The sequence below is a fragment of the Homo sapiens genome, chromosome 10, assembly GCF_000001405.40.
Source record: "Homo sapiens chromosome 10, GRCh38.p14 Primary Assembly".
Taxonomy (NCBI): Eukaryota; Metazoa; Chordata; class Mammalia; order Primates; family Hominidae; genus Homo; species Homo sapiens.
Genome location: NC_000010.11, coordinates 120,060,490 through 120,083,781, shown reverse-complemented (window position 1 = coordinate 120,083,781; position 23,292 = coordinate 120,060,490). Strand labels below are relative to the sequence as shown.

At 42.4% G+C, this 23,292-nt stretch overlaps 3 annotated features.

Annotated features, from left to right (window-relative positions):
- Nucleotides 6,260–6,759: an enhancer, noted in NCBI's record as "H3K4me1 hESC enhancer chr10:121836535-121837034 (GRCh37/hg19 assembly coordinates)". NCBI's record gives its function as "activates a minimal SCP1, AML or CMV promoter by ChIP-STARR-seq in primed H9 embryonic stem cells {active_cell/tissue: H9 hESC(primed)}" and the evidence as "EXISTENCE:reporter gene assay evidence [ECO:0000049][PMID:30033119]".
- Nucleotides 6,760–7,261: an enhancer, noted in NCBI's record as "H3K4me1 hESC enhancer chr10:121836033-121836534 (GRCh37/hg19 assembly coordinates)". NCBI's record gives its function as "activates a minimal SCP1, AML or CMV promoter by ChIP-STARR-seq in primed H9 embryonic stem cells {active_cell/tissue: H9 hESC(primed)}" and the evidence as "EXISTENCE:reporter gene assay evidence [ECO:0000049][PMID:30033119]".
- Nucleotides 8,054–8,555: an enhancer, noted in NCBI's record as "NANOG hESC enhancer chr10:121834739-121835240 (GRCh37/hg19 assembly coordinates)". NCBI's record gives its function as "activates a minimal SCP1, AML or CMV promoter by ChIP-STARR-seq in naive H9 embryonic stem cells {active_cell/tissue: H9 hESC(naive)}" and the evidence as "EXISTENCE:reporter gene assay evidence [ECO:0000049][PMID:30033119]".

Here is a 23,292-nt window from a genome sequence, read left to right as displayed (position 1 = left end):
AGCCAGCCTGGGCTTCTTCAGAGCACTGTGGCATCAGGGTATTCAGGCTTCTTACCTGACAGCTGGTGTCTAAGTTTCCTAGGGCTGCCATAACAGATTATCACAAACTGGGTGGCTTAAAGCAAGAGAAACTAGGCCAGGCATGGTGGCTTATGCCTGTAATCCCAGAACTTTGGGAGGCCAAAGTGGGAGAATCACTTCAGCCCAGGGGTTCGAGACTAACCTGGGCAACACAGTGGGACTTGTCTCTATAAAACATTTTTAAAAAATTAGTAGTCCCAGCTACTTGGGAGGGGTGGGAGGATGATTTGAGCCCAGGAGGTTGAAGCTGCAGTGAGCCGTGATGGCACCACTGCACTCCAGCCTGGGTGACAAATTGAGACCCTAGCTCAAAAAAAAAAAAAAAAAAAAACCCACACACACGCACAGAGACATGCACAGACACAAACACACACACACACACACACACACACACACACACACACACACGCACACAAGAGAAATGTATTCTCTCACAGTTCATAAAAGCGGAAGCTGAAATCAAGGTGTCGGAGGAGTTGATTCCTCTGGTGGCTTCGACCTGAAGTGAAGCCGCTCTCCCCGTGTGACTAGTGCATCCAATCTTTTTTTTTTTTTAGCTAATATTTATTGAACTAATGGACCATACATTTGATATACAATACCTCATTTAATCACAACAGCCCTATTAGATTGCTACCAATGAAAATAAAACGAGGTGGATAGAATATTCCTGGCTTAAAAAGTTGTCCTGCAGTAAAATATTGAGAGGGGTCTACACATTGTCTGGATTTTTTAAACTATAAAGATGAAATAAGACAAGAATACAGTTAGGGTTTGAGCAAATAGAGTCAAGGGCTTGAAGAGAATGAATACACAAGTTTGAATGTGTCAGTATGTTGCTTAAACAACTACGAATGTCTGTATTCTTGTCCCTACAATCCGGGTGTAATGGAAGTCCCTCCATGTGTTAATGAAACAGCTCTAAGTAAAAAAGTGAGACATTAATTAAATGTGGAGTAAGATATTCTTCATACCCACTAGGATGGCTGAAATCAAAACGACACACATTAAGTGTTGGTGAGGCTTTGGAGAAATTGGAACCCTTACACATTACTGGTGAGATTGTAAAATGGTAGAGCCACTTTGAAAAACGGTCTGGCAATTCTTCAAAAGATTTAACATATAGTTAGCATATGACCAGAAATTCTACTCCTAGGTATCTACCCAAGAGAAATGAAAACACTTGTATATGAAGGTTCGTAACAATATTGTTCATAATGGCCAAAAGGTGGAAATAACCCAAATATCCACCAACTCATTAATGGATGAAAAAAAGGTGGCATATCCATACAATGGAATATTATTCTATCATAAAAAAGAATTCAATACTGATACATGCTGCACCATGGATGAACCTTACAAACACTATACCAAGTTAAAAAGTCAGTCGCAGTGAAACCCCGTCTCTACTAAAAGTACAAAAAAAAATTACCCAGGCATGGTGGCGGGCGCCTGTAGTCCCAGCTACTCGGGAAGCTGAGGAGGGAGAATGGCGTGAACCCAGGAGGTGAAGGTTGCAGTGAGCTGAGATGGCACCACTGCACTCCAGCCTGGGTGACAGAGCGAGACTCCGTCTCCAAAAAAAAAAAAAAAAAAAAAAAAAAAAAAAAGTCACAAAGGACCATATATGATTTGATCCCATTCATATGAAATGTCCAAAATAAGGGCATTCATAAAGACAGAAGTAGATCCGTGGTGTCTAGGGACTGAGGGGAGGGAAAACAGGGAGTGATTGCTAATGGGTATAGGGCTTCTTTTTTAGGGGTGATGAAAATGTTCCGAAATTACATCATGGTGACAGTTGTACAATTCTGTGAATATACTAAAAATGATTGTACACTTTAAAAGAGTGAATTTTGTAATATGTGAATTATATCTCAATAAAGCTATTATAAAGCTGTTGTCTAAAAAGGAAGAGAAAAAAAGGAAGAAATATGTGGTTTTGAAAGAGACGCAATGAGAAAAGTTCTAGGGGCAGGGCAGATTTGGGTTTGAGGGCTGAAATTTATATAATTTGGGGGCATTCTTGAAGAAAAAAACATTAATGAAAATACACATTACAACAATGTGCATATAGTTAACAATACTGCACTGTACACTTAAACATTTAAGAGGGTATATTTTATGTGATGTGCTTTTTAAAAATATATATATATTTATTTATTTATTTTGAGATGGAATTTTGTTCTTATTGCCCAGGCTGGAGTGCAATGGTGCGATCCTGGCTCACTGCAACCTCCGCCCCCTGGGTTCATGTGATTCTCCTGCCTCTGCCTCCTGAGTAGCTGGAATTACAGGCGCCTGGCACCATACCTGGCTAATTTTTGTATTTTTAGGAGAGAAGGGGTTTCACCATGTTGGCCAGGCCGGTCTCAAACTCCTGACCTCAGCTGATCCGCACCCCCACCCCCGGCCTCCCAAAGTGCTGGGATTAAAGGTGATGTGCTTTTTTATTATAATAAAAAATGCAAATGCAAAATTAGGTACAAAACTGGATATTTCTAATGAGAAAATAAATGATAAATTATGAATTTTTTAAAGCTAAAAAACATTCAGAGCCCATTTATAAAATGACATTTTTATTAGTTAACTGCCTGCCCTACATTTATAATCTTATTTTCCTTCATTGTCGGCTGCATAGACTTTGTTTGCCTTTCTTATGAGACAATGATTTTATATCATTTTCTACAAAGGGAATAGATAAATAATTCAGTCTTTCTCTAGTATAGTTGATCTAAATTGTTTTTTATTAAACAAAATTCAGAAAAAATTTTTTCAGCTTCAGAATTTGTTAATGGCTCAATATATTTGGTATGCACAAACATCTTCCTGTAAAAACATATTCATTATAGCACTGCCACACACATTTGTGCTCTACAACCAAAAATTCTGATGAAGTCTATATCACATGACTCCCATCCAAAAAAAACATTGCAATTTATTGTGGTATGTTTATAATTGTACATGTTGCATTAATGTATACTCTTGACAGGAAAGAACATCTATTTTGAGCAAGTGTCAAGAAATGATTCCACTAGTTCTAACTTTACACATCTGATGAATGGAAGTGTTTTCCATAGACTAGCATCTGGCTCTCTCTATGTCAAATCTTACTTCTTCTCCAGGGCCACATAATCTCTGTTGTCACACCTGCAGGCCTGACTCAGGGAGACTCACAGAGTGGTTGGCGGGAGTGTCCTAGAAGCTTCTCCTGTGCCAAGGTGACTAGAAATATCTATACACAGAAAGAACCACAAATCGCAGAAAGAACCACAATCCACAGCAATACCTCCCACTAATTATCCCCATTCAACTCCCTTTATCTGGATTCCAAAATGCACTCAACCTCCAGCAGCACCTCACACAAGGAGAAGTGTATGGCAACGCAGAAGCTGGAGTGGAAAGAAGCAGAAGTCATAACCACTCACAGCCCAAATCCTACCCTTGTAAATTTTACAAAAAATATGAGCACGTCGCTGGAGTCTTGGGAGCGATTGAAGCTTCATTCATTTCACAGTGACTCTGCCTTTTTCTGAAAAGCAGTTTGGGAGGTGATATGGTCTGGCTCTGTGTCCCAACGCAAATCTCACATGGAATTATAATCCCCACCATGTCAGGGAAGGGACCTGGTGGGAGGTGATTGGATCATGGGGGTGGATTTCCCCCATGCTGTTCTCGTGATCGTGACTTCTCACGAGATCTAATGGTTTAAAAGTGTGGCACTTGCCCCCTTTCTCTCTCTCTCCTTCTCTGCCATGGGAAGATGGTGCTTGCTTCCCTTCACCTTCCACCATGATTGTAAGTTTCCTGAGGCCTCCCAGTCATGCTTCCTGTTAAGCCTGTGGAACTGTGAGTCAATTAAACCTCTTTTCTTCATAAATTACCCAGTCTCAGGTAGTTCTTCATAGCAGTGTGAGAACAGACTAATACAGGAGGTGTTTGTGCAACAAAGAATAAGCTCATGAAAGGGAGAATTTGCACTGTCCATAAAGGGGTTAAATTGAGCCTGTGTGCTCAGAACTTGTAGGTAATACACATACTCTACCCACTTTTCCACTGAAACAATTGCTCCCAGGACCAGTAAACCAAGTATTTATGAATCAACATTGTCTCACCTGCTCTACCTATCAGCATAATTACCTGAACATAATTTGGGACTGGGAAATGGTAGATCTCCTTCTTAGGGCTTCCCCTTGTGACTTAGTCTGGGACTGCGAGCTGCTATTTGGGCTATTCTTCCAGCCCTTTGCGATTGCCCAGAATGGGTGGTGGGAGCAGAAATGGGAATCAATGGTAGGTGCCCATTTTACAGATGGGGGACTAATTCTTGGGCCCACAGAATCAAATGGTAGCCACAACCTTGTATTGGTGGGTGAGTTTCTCTACCCACCTTTGAATCATTACCTTGCCAAATCTGTCCCAACAAGCCTGTACCTTTTCCTTCCTAACCCTCCTGTGCCTGTCCTACACTGCTGCTGGTAACGATGATAACAATGATGATGATCCTCACAACTACCTGAGAAGTAGGCATCACTGTCCATTCTTAAAATGAGAAAACAGGAGTGCTGAGCAGGTAGATGGCATGCATGTCAACAGCAACTTAGCCAGAGATGGAATTCTAACTCAAGTCTACCAATCCATGTCTCGGGTTCTTTGTACCTCACAACCCTACCTCTTACTAAGGCATCTCCACCAGACTAGATCAGCTAGTGGAAGTATCTAGGGTCCAGGATGCAATCAAAGAGAGAGGGGCCAGGTACAGTGGCTCATGCCTGTAATCCCAGCACTTTAGGAGGCCGAGGTGGGTGGATCACTTCAGGTCAGGAGTTTAAGACCAGCCTGACCAACGTGGGGAAACCCCGTCGCCACCAAAAATACAAAAATTAGCCAGGTGTGGTGGAGCGCACCTGTAATCCCAGCTACTAGGGAGGCTGAGGCAGAGAATCGCTTGAACCTGGGAGGCAGAGGCTGCAGTAAGCTGAGATCGTGCCAATGCACTCCAGTCAGGGCAACTCAATGAGACTCCATCTTAAAAAAAAAAAAAAAAAAAAAAAAAAAAAAGAAGAGAGAGGAATGGACCTCCTTGTAGTCACGAACTCAGCCTCAGAGCTGGCCATTGAATTTGCAAGGACCAGTATAAAAATGAAATGCAGAGCACTTTGTTCAAAAAAACAGGCAAAAAGTGTCATTAAAGATGCTAAAATATAAAACGTTTTCTTTTTTCCTGCAATTTCTCTTGCTTGCCCTACATGTCATGGTGTTATTATATTTGTTATTAAAAGTAAGGGCAAAAACCACAATTACTTTTGCACCAACGTCAGTAATATTTACTGTCATTCTAAGTTTAAAAAAAGAAATAAAATAGAAAATTATTAGTGTGAATTTTACCACTCTTCTGTATATTGCACAATACCAATTTTAAATGCAAATATTAGAACATTTAACAAACATGTGGAATCACCAAAATCACACAATTTGCACTTCGTACCTCACACAAACATGAGTATTTTGATCTTACCTAAGCAGCAGGAATGCTGCACACAACCAACTCCCTTCTCTTCTAAGAACACATTTACCAATCAGGTTTCTGATGTGTGAGGAGGAGGAACTGTGGCTTGCCCTCTCTTTTCCTTCCTCCTGTGTCATCATTTTCAGCATAGTGGTTGGCTAACACAGGGAAGTGACACAAGTAAGAAGGGATCTGATAGGGCGCAATAGGTATTCAGGTTTCTTAGAACACCATTGCCTTCTTTCTGCATTCAAAACAAGTTCTGATTCAAACGGACAGTGTAGCTTCTTGGCGCTGTGGGTTCCCTGCTTCCTAAGTGGTAAATGTAACACACTCATATCACACCTACCTTGTGCTTGCTTTATGTCTCACTGAGCTCCCACAGGGCGCTGCGGGAATTCTAGGTTCATGGGACATCGTGAATACACATGCAAATGGAGAACGGCAGGTGCTGCGGGCATTGTGCGTGCGTCCTTTACTCACGCAGATGCTGCACTGCCCTATCCGACGTCACCGACAAAGCCCAGATTCAAAGATAAAATTATTACAAATTTCAAGATGGTAACGGCAGAGCATCAAACCAAGTTTGAAGCCCTTCTGAGACCACAGCCCTGTGCAACTGCATGGGTCAGACACCCATGAAACCAGCCCTGCTGGACTCAGCTCTGAGGAGGAAAAGTAAAGGATGTCTTCCACATTGCTCAGAGCCATACCCCCAGGGCCTGTTTCACAGTAAACATTCACTGAATGAATGAATGAATGCATGAGAAGGTAAGGACCCTCTCTTGACCAGTCCTCTGGTCAAGAGACTTTCCAGGATGAGCCTCCGCTAGCCAGGGTAAGCAGGAAACCAACAGCTGGCACCAAGCCTGGCACATAAAACAATTTTACAAATAAAGGTGCTTTCATACATAATAACAATTAGTACTGCCTGCTGTTCTAATTACTCTGCAGCTCTTTAGCCCAGTTCAGCCCTGGGGCTATGCTGGTCATTGCTGCTCTCTCTACACACACAAACACACGTGCACACACACGGTCACACACACATTCCCAGCTGACCCAGCAAGCCCATCCCCACAAAGCTGCCTCGTTCCCCCATCCCACTGCTGCTACCTCCACTTCCTCTGAAAATGCCGTTTCGCTACTGTGACACTTACTGTTCTGCCACCAGCCTCCAGCCGGGCTTGGTCTCTGCTCCATGGCTGCTGGTTCTGCTCTGCTTCTGACCCTGAGGAAGGAGGCTCTCCCCACAAGTGGCAACTGGATGGCCAGCCCTGGAAGATTGTGAGTCCTGTAGGTCCCAAAGAGCCGCGCTTGCTTTTACATGTCCACAGGTCTCTCTGCAGAGAATTTATGACAAGCTCCCAGGGCTTAGACTGGAAAACAAGAGGTAAGAAACAATACATTAAAAAATAAAAATTTTTTTAAAAAGTTTGCTGAAGTCTTCCTTCCCCATCATAACCCTCTTTTGCCACATGTCCCAATTTTTTCCTCCTCAAAATGAGTTTTCTGCCCTCCTGGAACACTCTCCCCAGAGACAGAGGATAGCTTTTATCTTCTCTTTGAGCTCAACTTCATTCCTCGTACCTAAACTTACCAATACCAGCCAATGCTATGCTGGTGAAGATGTGGTGGAACCAACACTCTCATGCTGCCAAGAGAAGTGGAAATGAGCTCAATTGTTTTGGAAAGCAATTTGACAACAGTCATTAGAGACCCTTCTAAATTTCTCCTCTAGGAATTTCTAAGGAAATAAATGCACAAAAGCTGTGGATATACAGATGTTATTAAGAATAGCAAGGCAGCCAGGTACAGTGACTTGCACGTGTGATCCCACCTACTCAGGAGACTGAGGTGGGAGGATCTGAGGCCAGGAGTTTGAGACCAGCCTGGGCAACATAGTGAGATCCTGTCTCTAAAAAACCAACCAAACAAATAATAGCAAGGCAAAGAAAATAATCTAAATGTTCAGTATTGGCAAATAATAAAATAGATTGGCATATCTAATGAAATGCTTAAATGCCACTTAAAATGATTATAAAAATGATGTAATAATATGGGGAAAATTAAAATACTTATGATCATATAGTTATAAAAGAATAAGGTGATGTAAAATTGTGTACATGTCTTAAAACCAAATTTGTTTTGAATCCTATGCATAAAGAAAAAACACAGACTAGAAGGAAATGTACCAAAATGCTAAAAATGATTGTATTGTGTTGAGATAGGTTTATGTAAATGTTTCTTATCTAAGTTTTATAATGAAAATAAGGCTGCCTAATGATCCTGTCTGCTCCCTTTCTCAGACAACAGAATTAATGGTCCTAAATATTATCAAAGCAGCTGGTTCTTTAGAGACAGGTTCTATGGTATATACATGTAAACTGCCACTACAGTTTTCTTTTTGATGCTCTTTTAGCATACCATCTCTTTACACATAGCAATATTCAGGATAAAAAAATCGATCCGGTGAAATACTGTATTTCCACTTTGGAAACCACGCTCCACATTCTGTCTACCTTTGCTTTCATGACCAGAACCTCCATTCAGTACAAAGTCAGCGATTTCCACACCATATGCTGTGTGCTCTCCCAGAGCTGAAAATCAGAATGACAACAAGAGAAACACAAAGCCGCCACAAATTGTCAAAGGTGCATGTTATTGTAACAACAATCTGGCAGCAGCAGGCAGAGCTTATTCCTACAGTAGCAGCTGTTGGATAGGAACTGTTGAGAGAAAGAAAGGAGAAGATGACAATGCACTTAACAGTCACTAATCAGAAACTTGTACCTTGAGTATTCCTAAAGAAGGTGTTTATATTTGAGGTGGTGGTCCTGGCACATTTTAAACATCTAAACATCACTGTAAAGAGAGAATTCCATTTGGATCCAGTTCATGTTGACCTTTACTCCAGGGGCTTCCTAGCAGAATAGCTCTTGTGATTTGAAAGCAAGAGCCACATGTAGGAAGCTGACTCCGCAAGCCCTTAGTAGCATTCTGACATCAACACGTGTAAGACCAGAAACTGAGCTAAACCTTGGCTGTTGAGCACAGTAAGAAAAACCGTGGCTTTGGCATTAGAAAGACTTGGGTTTAAATCCAGACTCAGCCACTTACTGGCTGTGTCTCCTTGGCAAGGTACTTAACCTCCTCCAGCCTCAGTTGTCTCATCAGTAAAATGGGAATAGTAATTCCTGTTTTACAGGATTCTTAGGAGGATCAGAAATGACCTATGTAAATGTGAGTTAGCATTATGACCCAGCAATTCCACTCCTGGGTATCTGCTCAAGGGGAATGAAAACACATGTCCACACATAAACTTGTACATGAATGTTTCCAGTGGTATTATTCATAATAGCAAAAAAGTAGAAACACTGAAATGTCAACTGATGAATGAATAAGCAAAATGTGGCAAACCCAAAAATGGAATATTATCCAGCGATAAAAAAAGAACGAAGTACAGATACATACTGCAACATGAATGAATCTTGAAAATATCACACCAGATAAATGAAGTCAGACACAAAAAGCCACATAATACATGATTCCATTTATATGAAATTGTCCAGAACAGGCAATTCTACAGAGACAGAAAGTAGATTGTGGTGGCTGAGAAGGATGAGGGGTAGGGAATGTAGCTAATGGATATAGGGTTTCCTTTTGAGGTAATGGAAATACACTAAAATTGACTGTGGTGATGGTTGCACATACCTGAATATACTAAAAACCATTGAATCATAATACTGTAAATGGATAAAATGTATATGTGAATTATATCTCAACAAATCTGTTATTTCAAAAAAGAAATGGTATGTGTAAAATGCCTCACGTAGTTTCAGGTGTTCAATAAATCATAGTTACTCGTACATCTGCCATTCATTTATGATTGGACCTCACTTCTCTCCCTTCTAGAAAGTACACAACTTCTTTTGGGCAGTGTGTTTCCTGCTTAAAAGGTAATACTAGAAGCAAAATTATAATCCCTAAAAAAGACTTTTGAGCTTACCATTCCTTTTTATAAATGGGAAAATTGAGGCCCAGAAGACTGATATTTCCTACTCAGAAAACTGCAAATAAGGGCCAGTTAGAAGAGAATATAGGGAAGGAAGGTGGATCAGTCAAGCAGAACATGCCCAGCAAAGCCAGACAAGAGCAACAGCAGTGAAGCTCCATAAACATGGTGCCCCACAGGTTCAAGGCTGTTCCTGGAGGAAGGCTGCAGGTGGGGAAAGGCAGGATGAATAATAGGAAGAACATTAAACAGGGTTAGCTCATAAAGCATCCTAGGAATAAGGCTTGCTGAAGTTGGGCAGAAGCTCTTTTTATTGGAGTTTTAATCCTGGAAGTAAAACTGGAATACAAGGCCAAGTTGGGAACTTTTGGCAGTCTATATAAATAACATTTTTATCTGCTTTGTTGGAGTTTTTTGTTGTTGTTTTTTGGTATGGTGGGGATTGTTTTGTGTTTTGTTTTAGTTTAGTTTTGGTTTTTTGGTTTTTGCAGAAACGTATGAATATGGCTCTTCAGACTTCCATATGTGGAGAGTTTGGGGGAAATAATCTATGGTCAAATATGAGTTTTAGAGGAGAAGAAAATACATTTTTCCTTTGCCTGTCTTAGATTCATTGGTTGGGGCTGTGTGAATTATTAGCAAGCTAAAAGGTCACATTTCCCAGCCTCTCTTGCAGCTAGCTGTGATAATGTGACCATGTTCTAAGTAATGATACATAAATGGGAGACTTCCCAGAAGGTGCCTTAAAGGGAAGTGCATGCTTTTCTTTTTCCACCCCTGTCGCCTGGAACTCAGATGTGAAGACCAGAGCTCAGGCAGCTGTCATAAACACAAGGGTGAGGGCCACACCCTATGATTGGCAGAGGGGAGACCTGAGAGAAGCCTGGGTCCCTGGCAATTTCACGGAAGTGCCATACCAATCCTGAATTTCCTACCTCCAGACTTTGTTATGTGAGAGAAAAGTAAGCTTTAGTCATGCCTTAATCTTGTTAGACTATATCCTAATTTTTTTTTTTTTTTTTTTTTTGGTTTTTAGAGTGTTACTTGTCTCGAGAAATTTTTTAATTTGCAGACAAAAATATCTGAAAGTTTACCTTCAAAGACAACTTCTGTCATGGAAATTACACTGAGTCATGGAGACAAATAAAAGGGGGGTCTTAGGGAGACAAGCTGGACCTGAAGAATAATTCTGGGAACTCCACAAAAACTCACTGCTCTGGTTTACCCTGTTCTAAGTCACAGTAAATTGAATTAATTTTTGTAAATGTCAAACATTAGTGTTACCCAACCAGCAATAGTGTGTACTAACACACTACTAATGTATGTCTCAGGAAATTTCTATTTGCACAATATGCAGCAAACATAGGACAAGAAAGCTCCTTCTACTGAACCACTGCACAAGCTAGAACTACATAAAATACAAGTCTGCTTTCAGAGATTCACGTCTGAGATGGGTCCCTTGGTCTTACAGTCAACTGGGCATAAGTGGATGGTTGAGGAATGTAGACTCTCATTGAAGATAAATGAAACCAGCTGCTGACAGGCACAGGACCATAAAGAATTAAACACAATCCTGATTTCAATTCCAGAGGCTTTCCAGTACCTGGGCTCACACAACACTGGCCAGCCCTGTTCAGTCTCAAATGCATAACCACAGCCCAGGAGGGATACAGTCCAGACAGGGAAAGCATCAATTCTCCCTGAGCTATCTTCCAGTCTCGACAGAATAATCGGCCAAGCCTTCCCCTTGTTTTGGAGACATGTAGCGCTTATTCGCTACCTTAATGAAGTCCTACTGTGACATCTCCTGAAATGTATGTAGGAGAGGAAAACACATGCCTCCCTCTACCCTTCTAGGGCCTTTGGCTAGTCTAGGAATGAAACTGACAGAAGATGGATTAACAGGAGAAAAGTCATATTAATATGTACACATGCAATGGAGTCCCACAAACATTTGAGATTCAAGGAAGTGGCCAGATGATTGAGGCTTATACAGCATCCTAAGCTACAGAAAGCGGTAGGAGGGGCAACACAAGTTGATATAGTTTGGATGTTTGTCCCCTCCAAATCTCATATTGAAATGTGATCCTGTGTTGGAGGTGGGGCCTGGTGGGAGGTGGGGTCATGAGGCGGGTCCCTCATGAATGGCTTGGTGTTCTCCCCATGGTAATGAGTGAGTTCTCACTCTATTCGTTGTTTAAAGGAGCCTGGCACCTCCTCCTCTCTCTCTCTTGCTCCTTCTGTCACCATGTGACATGTCTGCTCCCCCATGGCCTTCTGCCATGAGTGAAAGCTTCCTGAGGCCTCCCCAGAAGCTGAGCAGATGCTGGCACCATGCTTATACAGCCTGCAAAACTGTGACCCCAATAAACCTCTATTCTTTATAAATTACCCAGGCTCCAGTATTTCTTTATAGCAATGCAAAACAGACTAATACAGAGGATGAGGGAAGGAAATATATGGTGAATAGAGGTTGTTTTGTTATGCAGATGAAAGTCTTTCAGATAATAAAAGCTGTCAGAGCAGCTCTAATGACTAATGAAAATTCCCTTTAGAGAGGTCCATTGTTTTTACAAAAGAGCAACTTTTCAGATCTACTCCTGGGTCTGCAGTTTCTCAAAATAACCAGCTGAAACTAATCAATATGCTAAAAAGGGATATTTGGGTGGCATATTCTGAGCTCCTATTGTCACATTTTGGGGTGTTGTGTCCTGAGCCCCAACATGTGCTTGGAGAGCCTTGTCTTCCACTTTATGTCTAATAGTTTTTTAGCCACATTGAATGAGCCTGTTGCAGGTGCCCTGTGGGGAGGGAGGGGGTGAACATTTGCAGCAGACACCACTGACCCCACCCGGATGCCCTCGGATCCCCCTCCTGGTGCTGTGTTCCCATGCTCCAGCCCCCACTGACAGCTCATAACTACAAGCCACGCAGAGCAGAGCATTACCCTTGGGCTTCAGGGACCACCTCCCTATGTGGAGAGTGGAAATATCTGGACATCTGTATCCCTTGGGGTGGCTGGTAGCCTCTGGCTGACCAGTGTCAGGGCTAGGCTCGCTTTCCTCCAGTAGGCAAACTCTGAGGTGCAACTCACACTCCAGAGCTCCCCTCTGGCTCAGGCTGCAGCTGGTTCTTCACCAGTCAGACCCCTGCTTGGCCCCTTTCTCTCTTCCCATCTTTGCCTCTACAACTCCCTTTTCCTAGGAGTACATCCTTTATGAATCCCACTCCCTTCTGCCTTCCTCCTTCATAAATCACTCACACCTGAATCCTTGACTCAGGGCCAGCTTCTGAGGGACCCCCCTCATAAGGCAGAGTGCTTGGGAAGAAAGGCATGCCCACAGAAACAACCATAATGATCACCAAACATGATTCTGGGGTCTACTGGGGGAAGCTGTACTCTCCTGACATTTTATTAGTTGATGTTTTCTGCCACAGTTAAGAACTTGGGAAACAGAATCAGACACAGACTTAATTAAACCAGGCTCAGAGCTGTCCCAGCTTCAGTAAACATGGACACCTGGATCTCACACACACACCCGTCTCAACTCTGCACACGCAGGAGGGAGAGGGAGCTTCGCTGGAAAAAGAGGGCAAATACTCTTTTAAACTGCAGCTGCTCCAGGCTGAAATTTGAAAGGCTGCTCAGCCTCCACCCAAGACTGAGTCTGAAAATCCACCATTAGGATTAATTCCTTGGGGTTGGGGTAGAAGGGATTGTATCTCCAGACCTCTTAAGAGTTAAAAAAAAAAAAAAGAAAAGAAAAAGAAAGAAAGAAAAGAAAAACTCTAGTCATTATCAGATATTAATATCCTTTTGATAATTGACTTTAAGAGGAGGCTGATACGAAACTTCCCATGGCAATTATAGCTATAGGATGTAGAAATATGTCCAAAGAAAAATGTTCTGGCAAGTGGGCAGTCAGAGGCAGGAGAGTGAGCAGTAGAGAGAGAGGAGAGAAGCAGACAGGAATTTACAAACAGGAGCTGGGGCTCTAACTAGTGGGATTTGATGGCGAGATGTCTCACAGGAAGTTCTCCACTCCCAGACAGGGGGCCCCGGGCTTCCTGCCTCAGAAGTGTAGCGGCAGGCATCCTGGGAAGGTGAAGAGCTTCCCCAAGGATGACCCTTCCAAGCCAGTCCACCTCACAGCTCTCCTGGGATACAAAGCTGGCATGACCCACATCCTGTGCAAAGTCACAGAAGCTGCTGCCACACGCTACTGTGTGGTCTGAAATGGCACCCAGCAGTATTAACCACTTAGTATAATAATAACAGCCACCACGTATTGAGCAATCAGCACTCAATTAAATCCAAGCACTGTGATAGGTAAACACTTTACAAGAATCCTCTTGTTTAAACCCCATAGTAACCCCATGGGGTTGGTACCATGATTATTCCTATTTTACCAGTTAAGAGGCACATGGGTTAAATAAAAGCTAATCAGTGTTGGAGGCAGGATTCAAACCCAGGATATCTGACTCCAATCTAGCCACCGTGCTTCTCCTAATTCATCCTCCCTGTTCTGCAGATGTGGAAACTAAGGTGGAGTATAGGCAAGTGGGCTGTATCGAAAGGTGAGTGACTGAAAAGCAGGACCCAGAATCGGGGGCACCCACTCCCAGCCTAGTGGTCCACAGCAACTTCTTCACCCAAGGGACCAAGTCAGAGGCCTTCAGGGAGAACTTCAGCTCTGCAGGATGGATCCCCACCCCTTCTGGTCCAGACCCTGCCAACCCTCCAGCCTCACCTCCAGTCTCACCAGGGCATGCCCTGCCTGCTAAGCCTGCTCTCCTGTACCACCATGTCCCAAAATGCCATGCTTATACCTTCCCTCCCTTTGTGCAAGTTGTCCCCATAGAAGTGACTCCCAGGGAATGCCTTTTCCCCTACCTGTCTGATTAATTCTACTTATCCTTCAAGGTTTCTTACAGCACCTCCCCGGTATGATTCCCTGAGCTTTTCCTAATATCCAACCCACACACCCACACTCGTCCCTGCCCACCCTGCTCAGCCTTCCTCCTCACTCCCCCAGCTGCACACACACGTCCTCCACATGAAAGCATCTTTACCCCAGTGCACATCTGCCTCTACCTCCCTCTGCAAGCTTCAAGAGAGAGTCCCACGTGTTGCTCGACTATGTCTCCAGGAACATAGGGCAGGGCTGGCACTTAGACGTGCTCCACAGAGAGGGAACAAACAAGCAAACAGCCACTGAGATCACACTCAGAAATAACTGGTTATTTCTTACCACAAAAAGTAAGTACGTGAGGAAATGTAGATATTAATTAGCTTGATTTAGTCATTCTACAATGTATGCATATTTGAAAACAGCATGTGTGCAAAATAAATATGTACAAATTTTTGTCAATAAAGAAAAATTGGTTGTCAAGTGTATTTTCTACCACCCCCCAAATGTTTTTTATCTCTGTAAGTTAAAAGTTCAGCCAAAAGTTGAACAATAATTGCTTTCCATAAGAAACAAAAGAATCTCAGGGAAATGCAAATCAAAATTACAATGAGATACCACTTCACACCTGTTAGGATGGCTATCATCAAAAAAACAAAAAGTGAATGTTGGCAAGAAGGTCAAGAAATGGAACCCTTCTGCACTGTTGGTGGGAACGGAAAATAGTGTAGTTGCTACGGAAAACAGTATGGAGGTTCCTCAAAAAATTAAAAATAGAACTATAATATGATCTAGCAATCCCACTTCTAGATACATTTCCAAAAGAATTGAGATCAGGATCTCAAAGAGATATCTGCCCTTTTGTGTCTATTGCATCCTTCACAATCACCAAGATATGGAAACCACCTAAGCATCCATCAACAGATGAATGGATAAAGAAAACATATTGTGTACATGCAAAGAATATTATCCAGCCTTAAAAAAGAAGAAAATCCTGCCATTTGGAACAACATGGATGAACGTGGAGGACATTATGCCAAGTGAAATAAGCCAGCCACAGAAGGATAAATACTACATAGGCGATTCCACTTATATGATGTGTCTAAAATAGTCAAACTCATAGCACAGAGAATACAAGAGATTGCTAGTGGCTGTGGGTGAGGGGAATTGGGGACTTGTTCAATGGCTATAAAGTTTTGGTTATGTTAGATGAATAAGCTCTAGAGGTCTGTTGTACAACTCAGTGTCTATAGTTAACAACACAGCATTATGCACTTCAAAGTTTAAGAGGATAGATCTTATATTAAGTGCTCCTAACACAGTAAAAAAAAGAAAAAAAACAAAAGGGAAGAGGAACACAAGGAAACCTTGAGAGGTGACGAATATGTCTATTACCTTGACTGTGGTGATGGTACCGGTATTGGCATATGTCCAAACTCATCAAACTGTGCTTTATTCACATTAAATATGTGCTTTATATATTAATTATACACAATAAATCTATGACTACAAAAAAGGGGAAAAGAATTGCCTAAAAGTGAATGATTATATATATACTCTTGCCCACAGACTGCATGGCCATTTGCTGAACACATAGCATGCAATTCCGCTCAGTTATCACGTACTAGATTCCCCATAGCTTGTCTGATCTTCTGCCTCTCAAGGGTTGGAGGGACACAGGAGATCAAGGGACAGGGTAGCCACCCATCCACCCTTACTTCTGACTCCCCTTTCTGTTACATGGTGCCAAATCCCTCCTCATGACCTCAAGAGCAAGGAGAACACAGTCTTTCCAGGGCAGCCCATTCTATCATAACAGAGCTAAGACCATTAAATCATACCCACAGGAGAAAAAAATCCTGTGTTCAACCATAATCTGCCTCCATGTAATTCTTCCCCAATACTCTTGATTCACCCCTAGGTCCACTCAGATCCAGCGTAATCCCTTTTCCAGAAAAGAGCCCTTCAGAATCCTCCCAAGTCCCATCAGAGTCCTGAGATTCAATATCTCCAGCTCTTCCAACCACTCCTCCCTGGATAGGGCTTTGCATCCCCCACGACCCTGACTACCCTTCTTGGCACCTGTCATGGTTTGTCAACAAGTCAGCAATGTCACCAGCTCTGCTGCTGTTGATGCTGCCCAGGACTCTATTACCTCTTTTGGCAGCTACAGCCCAGTCCTTCCTCACTGAGTTTATGGTCAACCAACTCCTCCCAGTCTTTTCCATTCACGTCACTGCTAAGCCATATCCCTCTCATTCTAAATGGGGCAGCTGGGCTTAGGGACTGTGATGGTTAATATTAGGTGTCAACTTGATTGGACTGAAGGATGCCTATATAGCTGATAAAGTATTGTTTCTGGGTATGTCTGTAAGGGTGTTGCCAGAGGAGATTAACACTTGAGTCAGTGGACTGGCAGAAGAAGACCCACCCTCAATCTGGGTAGGCACCATCCAATCGGCTGCCAGCATGGCTAGAACAAAGCAGGCAGAAGAAGGTCGGATAAACTGGCTTGCTGTGTCTTCTAGCTTTCATCTTTTTCCTGTGCTGGATGCTTCCTTGAACATCAGACTCCAAGTTCTTTGACCTTTGGACTCTTGGACTTACACCAGTGGTTTGCCCGAGGGCCCTCGGGCCTTCAACCACAGACTGAAGGTTGCACTATGGGCTTCCCTACTTTTGAGGCTTTAGGACTCAAACTGAGCCACTACTGGCTTCCTTGCTCCTCAGCTTGTAGATTGTCTTTCGTGGGACTTAATCTTGTGATCGTTGAGTCAATTCTCCTTAATAAACTCCCTTTCACATATACATACATCCTATTCATTCTGTCCTTCTGGAAACCCTAATACATGGACCTTAAATAGATCCAGGTAAATTTCACTTTGCTATGTCATTGTGGCAGAGACTGCCAGCTGGTGCTCTAGATCCATTTCCTCTTCTTCCCAGACACACAGCAAGAATCCACTTCCCAGCCTCCCTTGCAGGTGACTTAGCCTTAGCCAACGCAATATGAACGGAAGTCGAGGTATTTAAAAAGCAAGTGTGACTTCAGAACACCACATAGTTGCTGATAAATGTTTTTCTTTATAGAAGAACTCTAATAAATGAGGATGGAATGATAGAATTAGAATATCACCACTTTACAAACCCCTAATGAAATAATGAATGTACACTGTGATCATCAATAGTAAAAACACACACCATCTATGAACTAAACTTGTCCAAAAAAAATCACCTGTATCTCAACAAGACTCTAAATTTAAGTATTGGTTCAGAGGAACATGTTTACATAATGGAGATGCAACCAGCACAATCCAAACTGGGAGACTCTACAGAACAAGTGACCCAATAACAAATAAGTTAAAAGGACAGATGTGGGGAGGGAGGGAGATGTATAGATTAAGAGAGACTTAATCCCCCACCATCCAAAAACCACATATGTGTACCTATCAACCAATGCAATGTGAACATCCTTGTTTGAATCATGATTCAAATAAAGTGTTGAGAGGGGGAGAAAGAGAGAGAATCTGAATCAGGGCAACTTGAACATTGATAAGGTGTTCAATATTAGGAAACTACTGTCAGTATCTTAGGAGTGATAATGGTGTCATAGCCATGCTTACAAAAAATAGAGTCCTTTTCTTTCAGATATCCAAACTTACCTATAAAAATGAGATGATGGCTGGGATTGGCTTCAAAATAATCCAGTAGGGTAGGAAAGGGAGGAATAGAAATGAAACAAGGGTGGTCCTAAATAGATTGTTGCTGAATCTGAATGATATGCATTTGGAGTGAACTTTAGACCTCTGTTCTTTTACACATTTCAAATATTCCATAAAAAAAGATAAAGTTTATTTTAAAAGAAAGTAAAGGTCCCTCCTCCATGCTTCCTCTTAAGAATGCACACCTGGAGGTGGATGCAAATGAGGTGTTTGGGGATGGGAGGCCCACAGGATGGAAGAAGCCGGGTCCTCATGGGAAGTCATCAGCCAGCCATGAACAGCACCTCAGGCTGTTATGTGAAGAAGCACTACAGTTCCATTGTATAGGAGCCATTATAACACTTTGGGTCTATTTGTTTCCACTGTCTTGTCTACACATAAAATACATCAATAAATAATTTGGTCTTGGCCCACAACTTTTACTATGCACTCTTCAAAATTATGCTTTCATCCAAATTGTTTTCTCTCCTTGGCTTTGTGTGCATTTTTGCATTTGAGCTTTGACAGGAAAATGCCAAGGACAGCATATTTGAATGTTTGACAATGTCCTATGGCCACCATTAAAACCCTATACAGGGAGACCAAGTCAATTAATCAACATCCTTTGAGTAGCGATTCTGTTATGAATCTATCTAATTATATCAACCCTTGCTTATAGTACTCTGTTCTGTATAGAGATTATTATGTCCCTGTCAGATACTTTGTTAAACTCTAACTAGGTAATTGACAGTTGGGTCTAACAACTATGTTAGAAAAAAGGAAATAAGATCAGATTTAGAGCCGGGTGAAGTGGCTCACACCTGTAATCCCAGCACTTTGGGAGGCCGAGGTGGGTGGATCACCTGAGGTCAGGAGTTCAAGACTAGCCTGGCCAACATGGTGAAACCCCATGTCTACTAAAAATGCAAAAAAAAATTAGCCGGGCACAGTGGCACATGCCTGTAATTCCAGCTACTCTGGAGGCTGAGGCAGGAGAATCGCTTGAACCTGGGAGGCAGAGGTTGCATTGAGCCAAGGTCATGCCATTGCACTCCAGCCTGGGCGACAAGAGTGAAACTCCATCTCAAAAAAAAAAAAAAGATCAGATTTGATTTACTCTTACTAAACCCACATTAACTCTATTGATCACTTCCAGTTCTAAGTGGTCACAAGTAATTCCCTTAATAATTTCTTCTAGAATCTTGACTGGCTTCTGTTGTCAAGCTCACCAGTCTATAATTTAGGGGAGGGGGAAGCCATCTTTCCCTTTTCTAAAATCAAAACTATCGTTGTAGGTCTCCAAACTTCCAACACAACTCCCTTCTGTCCTCCACAATTCCTCAAATCCACCCACAATGGTTGGATTGAACCCACTTGGAGAATCCACTTGGCAAATATTTCCTTTGCCTCAAGATACTTGAAGTCATTTAGAGGAGCTCAGGCGCTCAGTGCCAATTCACTTTTTATCAGTATGTATTCTACTACTCTTGTTGAGAGTCTCTTCTCTGAAAGAAAACAGAAGCAAGAATAGAGTCATTCTACTTTCTCCGTGTCAATTACATTCATCAGATTCATCTTCCAGAACAGATACCTGTTTCCTTTGGAAAGAAACGGTGGATCCAGTCCTTCTAGCTGCCTTCTGTGCCCAACTCACCTCCAGCTTCTCAGAGATAAGAGACACGCCAATTGCACACTCTTTAGCACTAATCAGGGCTGCAGCCCCACATCCACATCTGGCCTCCAACCCCATGACCTGGATGAGCAATGTACCAACTTCACAGCAATGCATGAACTTTTAACCTTCAGTGCCAGGTCGAGGCTAGCTGGCAGCATGGGCTGCCTTTGTATTTCAATCCCCAGGCCCTACTAACCCAGCAGCATTAGATCAAAGAGAGTAGAGGAAGAATGAACAGGAGAATCCCTCACAAAGTAGAAAAGTGATTTGTCAGAATCCATTTTACATGAAATTTCTTTACTCCTTCATAAAAATCTCTTCCTTCTGGAATGATGGTGTTGTGTGCACTCCCGAGGGTTCCCTTTTAGTTCCAGCTCACTCCAGGTTAACCATGGAGCAGAGATAATCCTTGAGGCCCTCTAGACAGGAGCGCATGACTGACACAGGCTTGACCCCAAGCCATCCTTGTCATTCTCGCTCTGCCGAGCGCTAGAAAGCCTTCTGGCCATCCTTGGCATTTTTGTTTCAAGTCCCAAATCATTCTCATCCTTGGCCTTTCTAACACTATCTTTCCAGATCTATGCCATACTCAATCATGTGCCTTTCCTGTCCTCCTTTAGAGATGACCATTCATCCAAATCCTATACCAGCAAAGAGCAACCGTCTCGGGGCTGCCATTTCCTCCCTCCCTAAACTGACTTGAGGTTTCCAAGTCGGGCTACATTGCCCAAAACTTCCCCATGTGATAAATCTCTTCCCTGTGTTCTGACTATGGAATTACGTCTTTGTTTTCCTAAAACTGATGAAGTCTCCTCCTTCAGGTCTACAGTGTGCACGTTATGCCCTGCCTTTCTCTGGTATCAGTGGGATGGAGGTGGTGACCGAATAGACAAAACTAATCAGAGATTATTTTAAACTTAGCAAGAGCTGGGTGATTTTAGGAATTATATAGAAAAAATACAACATTCCATTAAGGTCAACGTCATTAGAATCACATAGGAAAGATATTTCTGTGTTTTAAGAGCCAATAAAGTACAAAATCCAATCAGGCAATCAAATTGCATGGGAGTGTATGTAGACAGGAGAATGAGAAGATGCATAACTTGAATCCAGGGACACAGGCTAGGAGACAACACCCCTCTTGAAGATGTGGAGTCTTTGATTAAGGATTCCTATAAACACAGCATTCTGTAGCCCTGGCCCGTGTCCAGTGGGGTGAAGATGAAGATGAAGATGAAGGTCTGGTCACTGTGCTGGCTCAACCAAGCCAAGAGGGCAGCTTCCAACACTGTGCAGGGTGGCAAATTAGTTTCCTTACTGAGTACACATCTTCTAATCTCAGGAATACTTAGAATTAAGTATGCAATTATTGGAACTTGCTAGACTTAAAGCAGTGAAATACACAAATTGATCTTAAAAGGTTGAAGAATAACTCTTTTTTTCTGTGTACAAAATCTACCCTGAAGACACCAAAAGACACATCTTTTTCCCAAGGTTGCCACTAACTTCACTTCACTATTTAATTTCTCCTCCGCAGGTGTGGGTCCCTGCCCTCAGGGAGGACAGACAACCTTCAGCCAGGCAAGGGAAGGACCTGTCAGACTTTCTGCTTCCAGCTGAGCCTCCCACAGGCAGCCATGTGGTTAAGCCCCGAGTTACACCCAATGTACCTGTGGGCCATTTGGGGAATTTGCATCCATTTGAACCATCTGGCCACACAGAATCCTGTCCTGAAAACACTTGGACTCCTCAAACCTTTTATCCTCACTCCATGGTCCTCAATGGCTTTTCCCACCAGCCCTGCAGATTCCCAAGAAGCGTTATATTTTATTGAGTTAACACTAGCCACAGCTTCATTCTGAACAGGGTTATTTTCTTTAAATAAGAGCTAGCTCCCCCTTAGAGCCATGGTTTCTAACATTACCGAATAAGATGCTATTGTTCACTCGTGATCGCGTGGAATGGGATCATTCAGATAATTCAATAAAAAATAAGACTGGAGGGGAGAAGCAACTTTCCTCTGCCTCTTAGGTTCTGTGGCTGGGCCTGAGAATCCAGTTGAAATAAGACAGACTAACAGAGAAAAGCACACAGATTATATATGATATTTTTACACGTACATAGGAGCCTTACAGGAGAGATGAAGACCATAAGAAGTGGTTCGGACCGAGCGTCTAAATGCCTTTTTAACAAAAGAATGATTAATTTGAAAAGATGTGTCAATACAAAGGAAAAGGGTTTCAAGCTTCTAGGGGTGGTAAGTTGTGAGAAAGTGACTAGGAAATTATATGGGAGCAACTAGTGGGAGACAAGGGCTATGTTAGCAGGTGTGTTTGTACAGGTTCATCTCATTATCAACTCCTACTCTCTGGTGATGAGAATGTTCTTCTCTTCCAGGTATACAGATGGCCCCTTTCTCGTGGGAAATTTTACAACCTGCTTTTAGGTAGAAGAGGAGGTCAGAGCACCCTCCCTATGTCTGCTATTTCTTAAATGCCTTCAACTCAAAATAATCAATTACCAAAGTGACATATTTTGAGGTTGCATGTTCTGAACCCCTTCAAGACATGGATGAAATGTACTCACTTGTGTGGAACGTCAGTCCACAAGTCATCCCTGAAATCTGACTCTCTAGGTCTGAAATCTGACTCAGCTACTTCCTAGCTGTGTAACTTTGCTCTTGGATCCTCAGTTTCCCAATCTGTATAATGTGTCCAAAAATAATACCTACATGCCACCTAAAGCTGTTATAGGAATGAAATTCTATGACCCACATAAGCACTTAGCCCATAAGAAGTGTTCTATAAATGCAATAATCACTGCAGATTCAGGGGCATTTGGAGCCTATCCACCAGCTCCCAGGAGGTACAAATCCACACTTTACTGGAACAGTCCACTTCAGTCTTAATATTAATGACTTATCTGACTTTGCCTCTTCCATTATTTCCTGCATTCAACTAAACCTAGCTTTGACCTAAAAGAAACCAAGATCTGAAGCAAGGAAATGGAACTTTGAGAGAAAACATAGCAAAGTCAACAACAAGCTCTTAGAAAATAAGTCTTCTGAACCTGTCATTTGCACTCTTTCTAAGTACCTTGTAAACTCCTGGAAAGTGAAGACTTGCAACTTTTTAATCAAAATTTAATTAGCAACTTGCACACAATAAGCACTCAGTGATTAGGAGTATAAATGAAAAAAATAGTAAGTTTCCAGTCAGTAGATACCAGGAAAACCAATTCGTCATTCATTCTTACTCATTAACGCCAACTTCTCCAAGCTCTTGCCTGAGAGACACCCAGCAATGATTTCTCAGAGCTTGGATTGTAGAGCCTCTTCTCTTAGTCACTTACTCCCAGTATCCCACTCCTCTACTGTATTTGGTTTCCATGTCCTCTGAGAGATC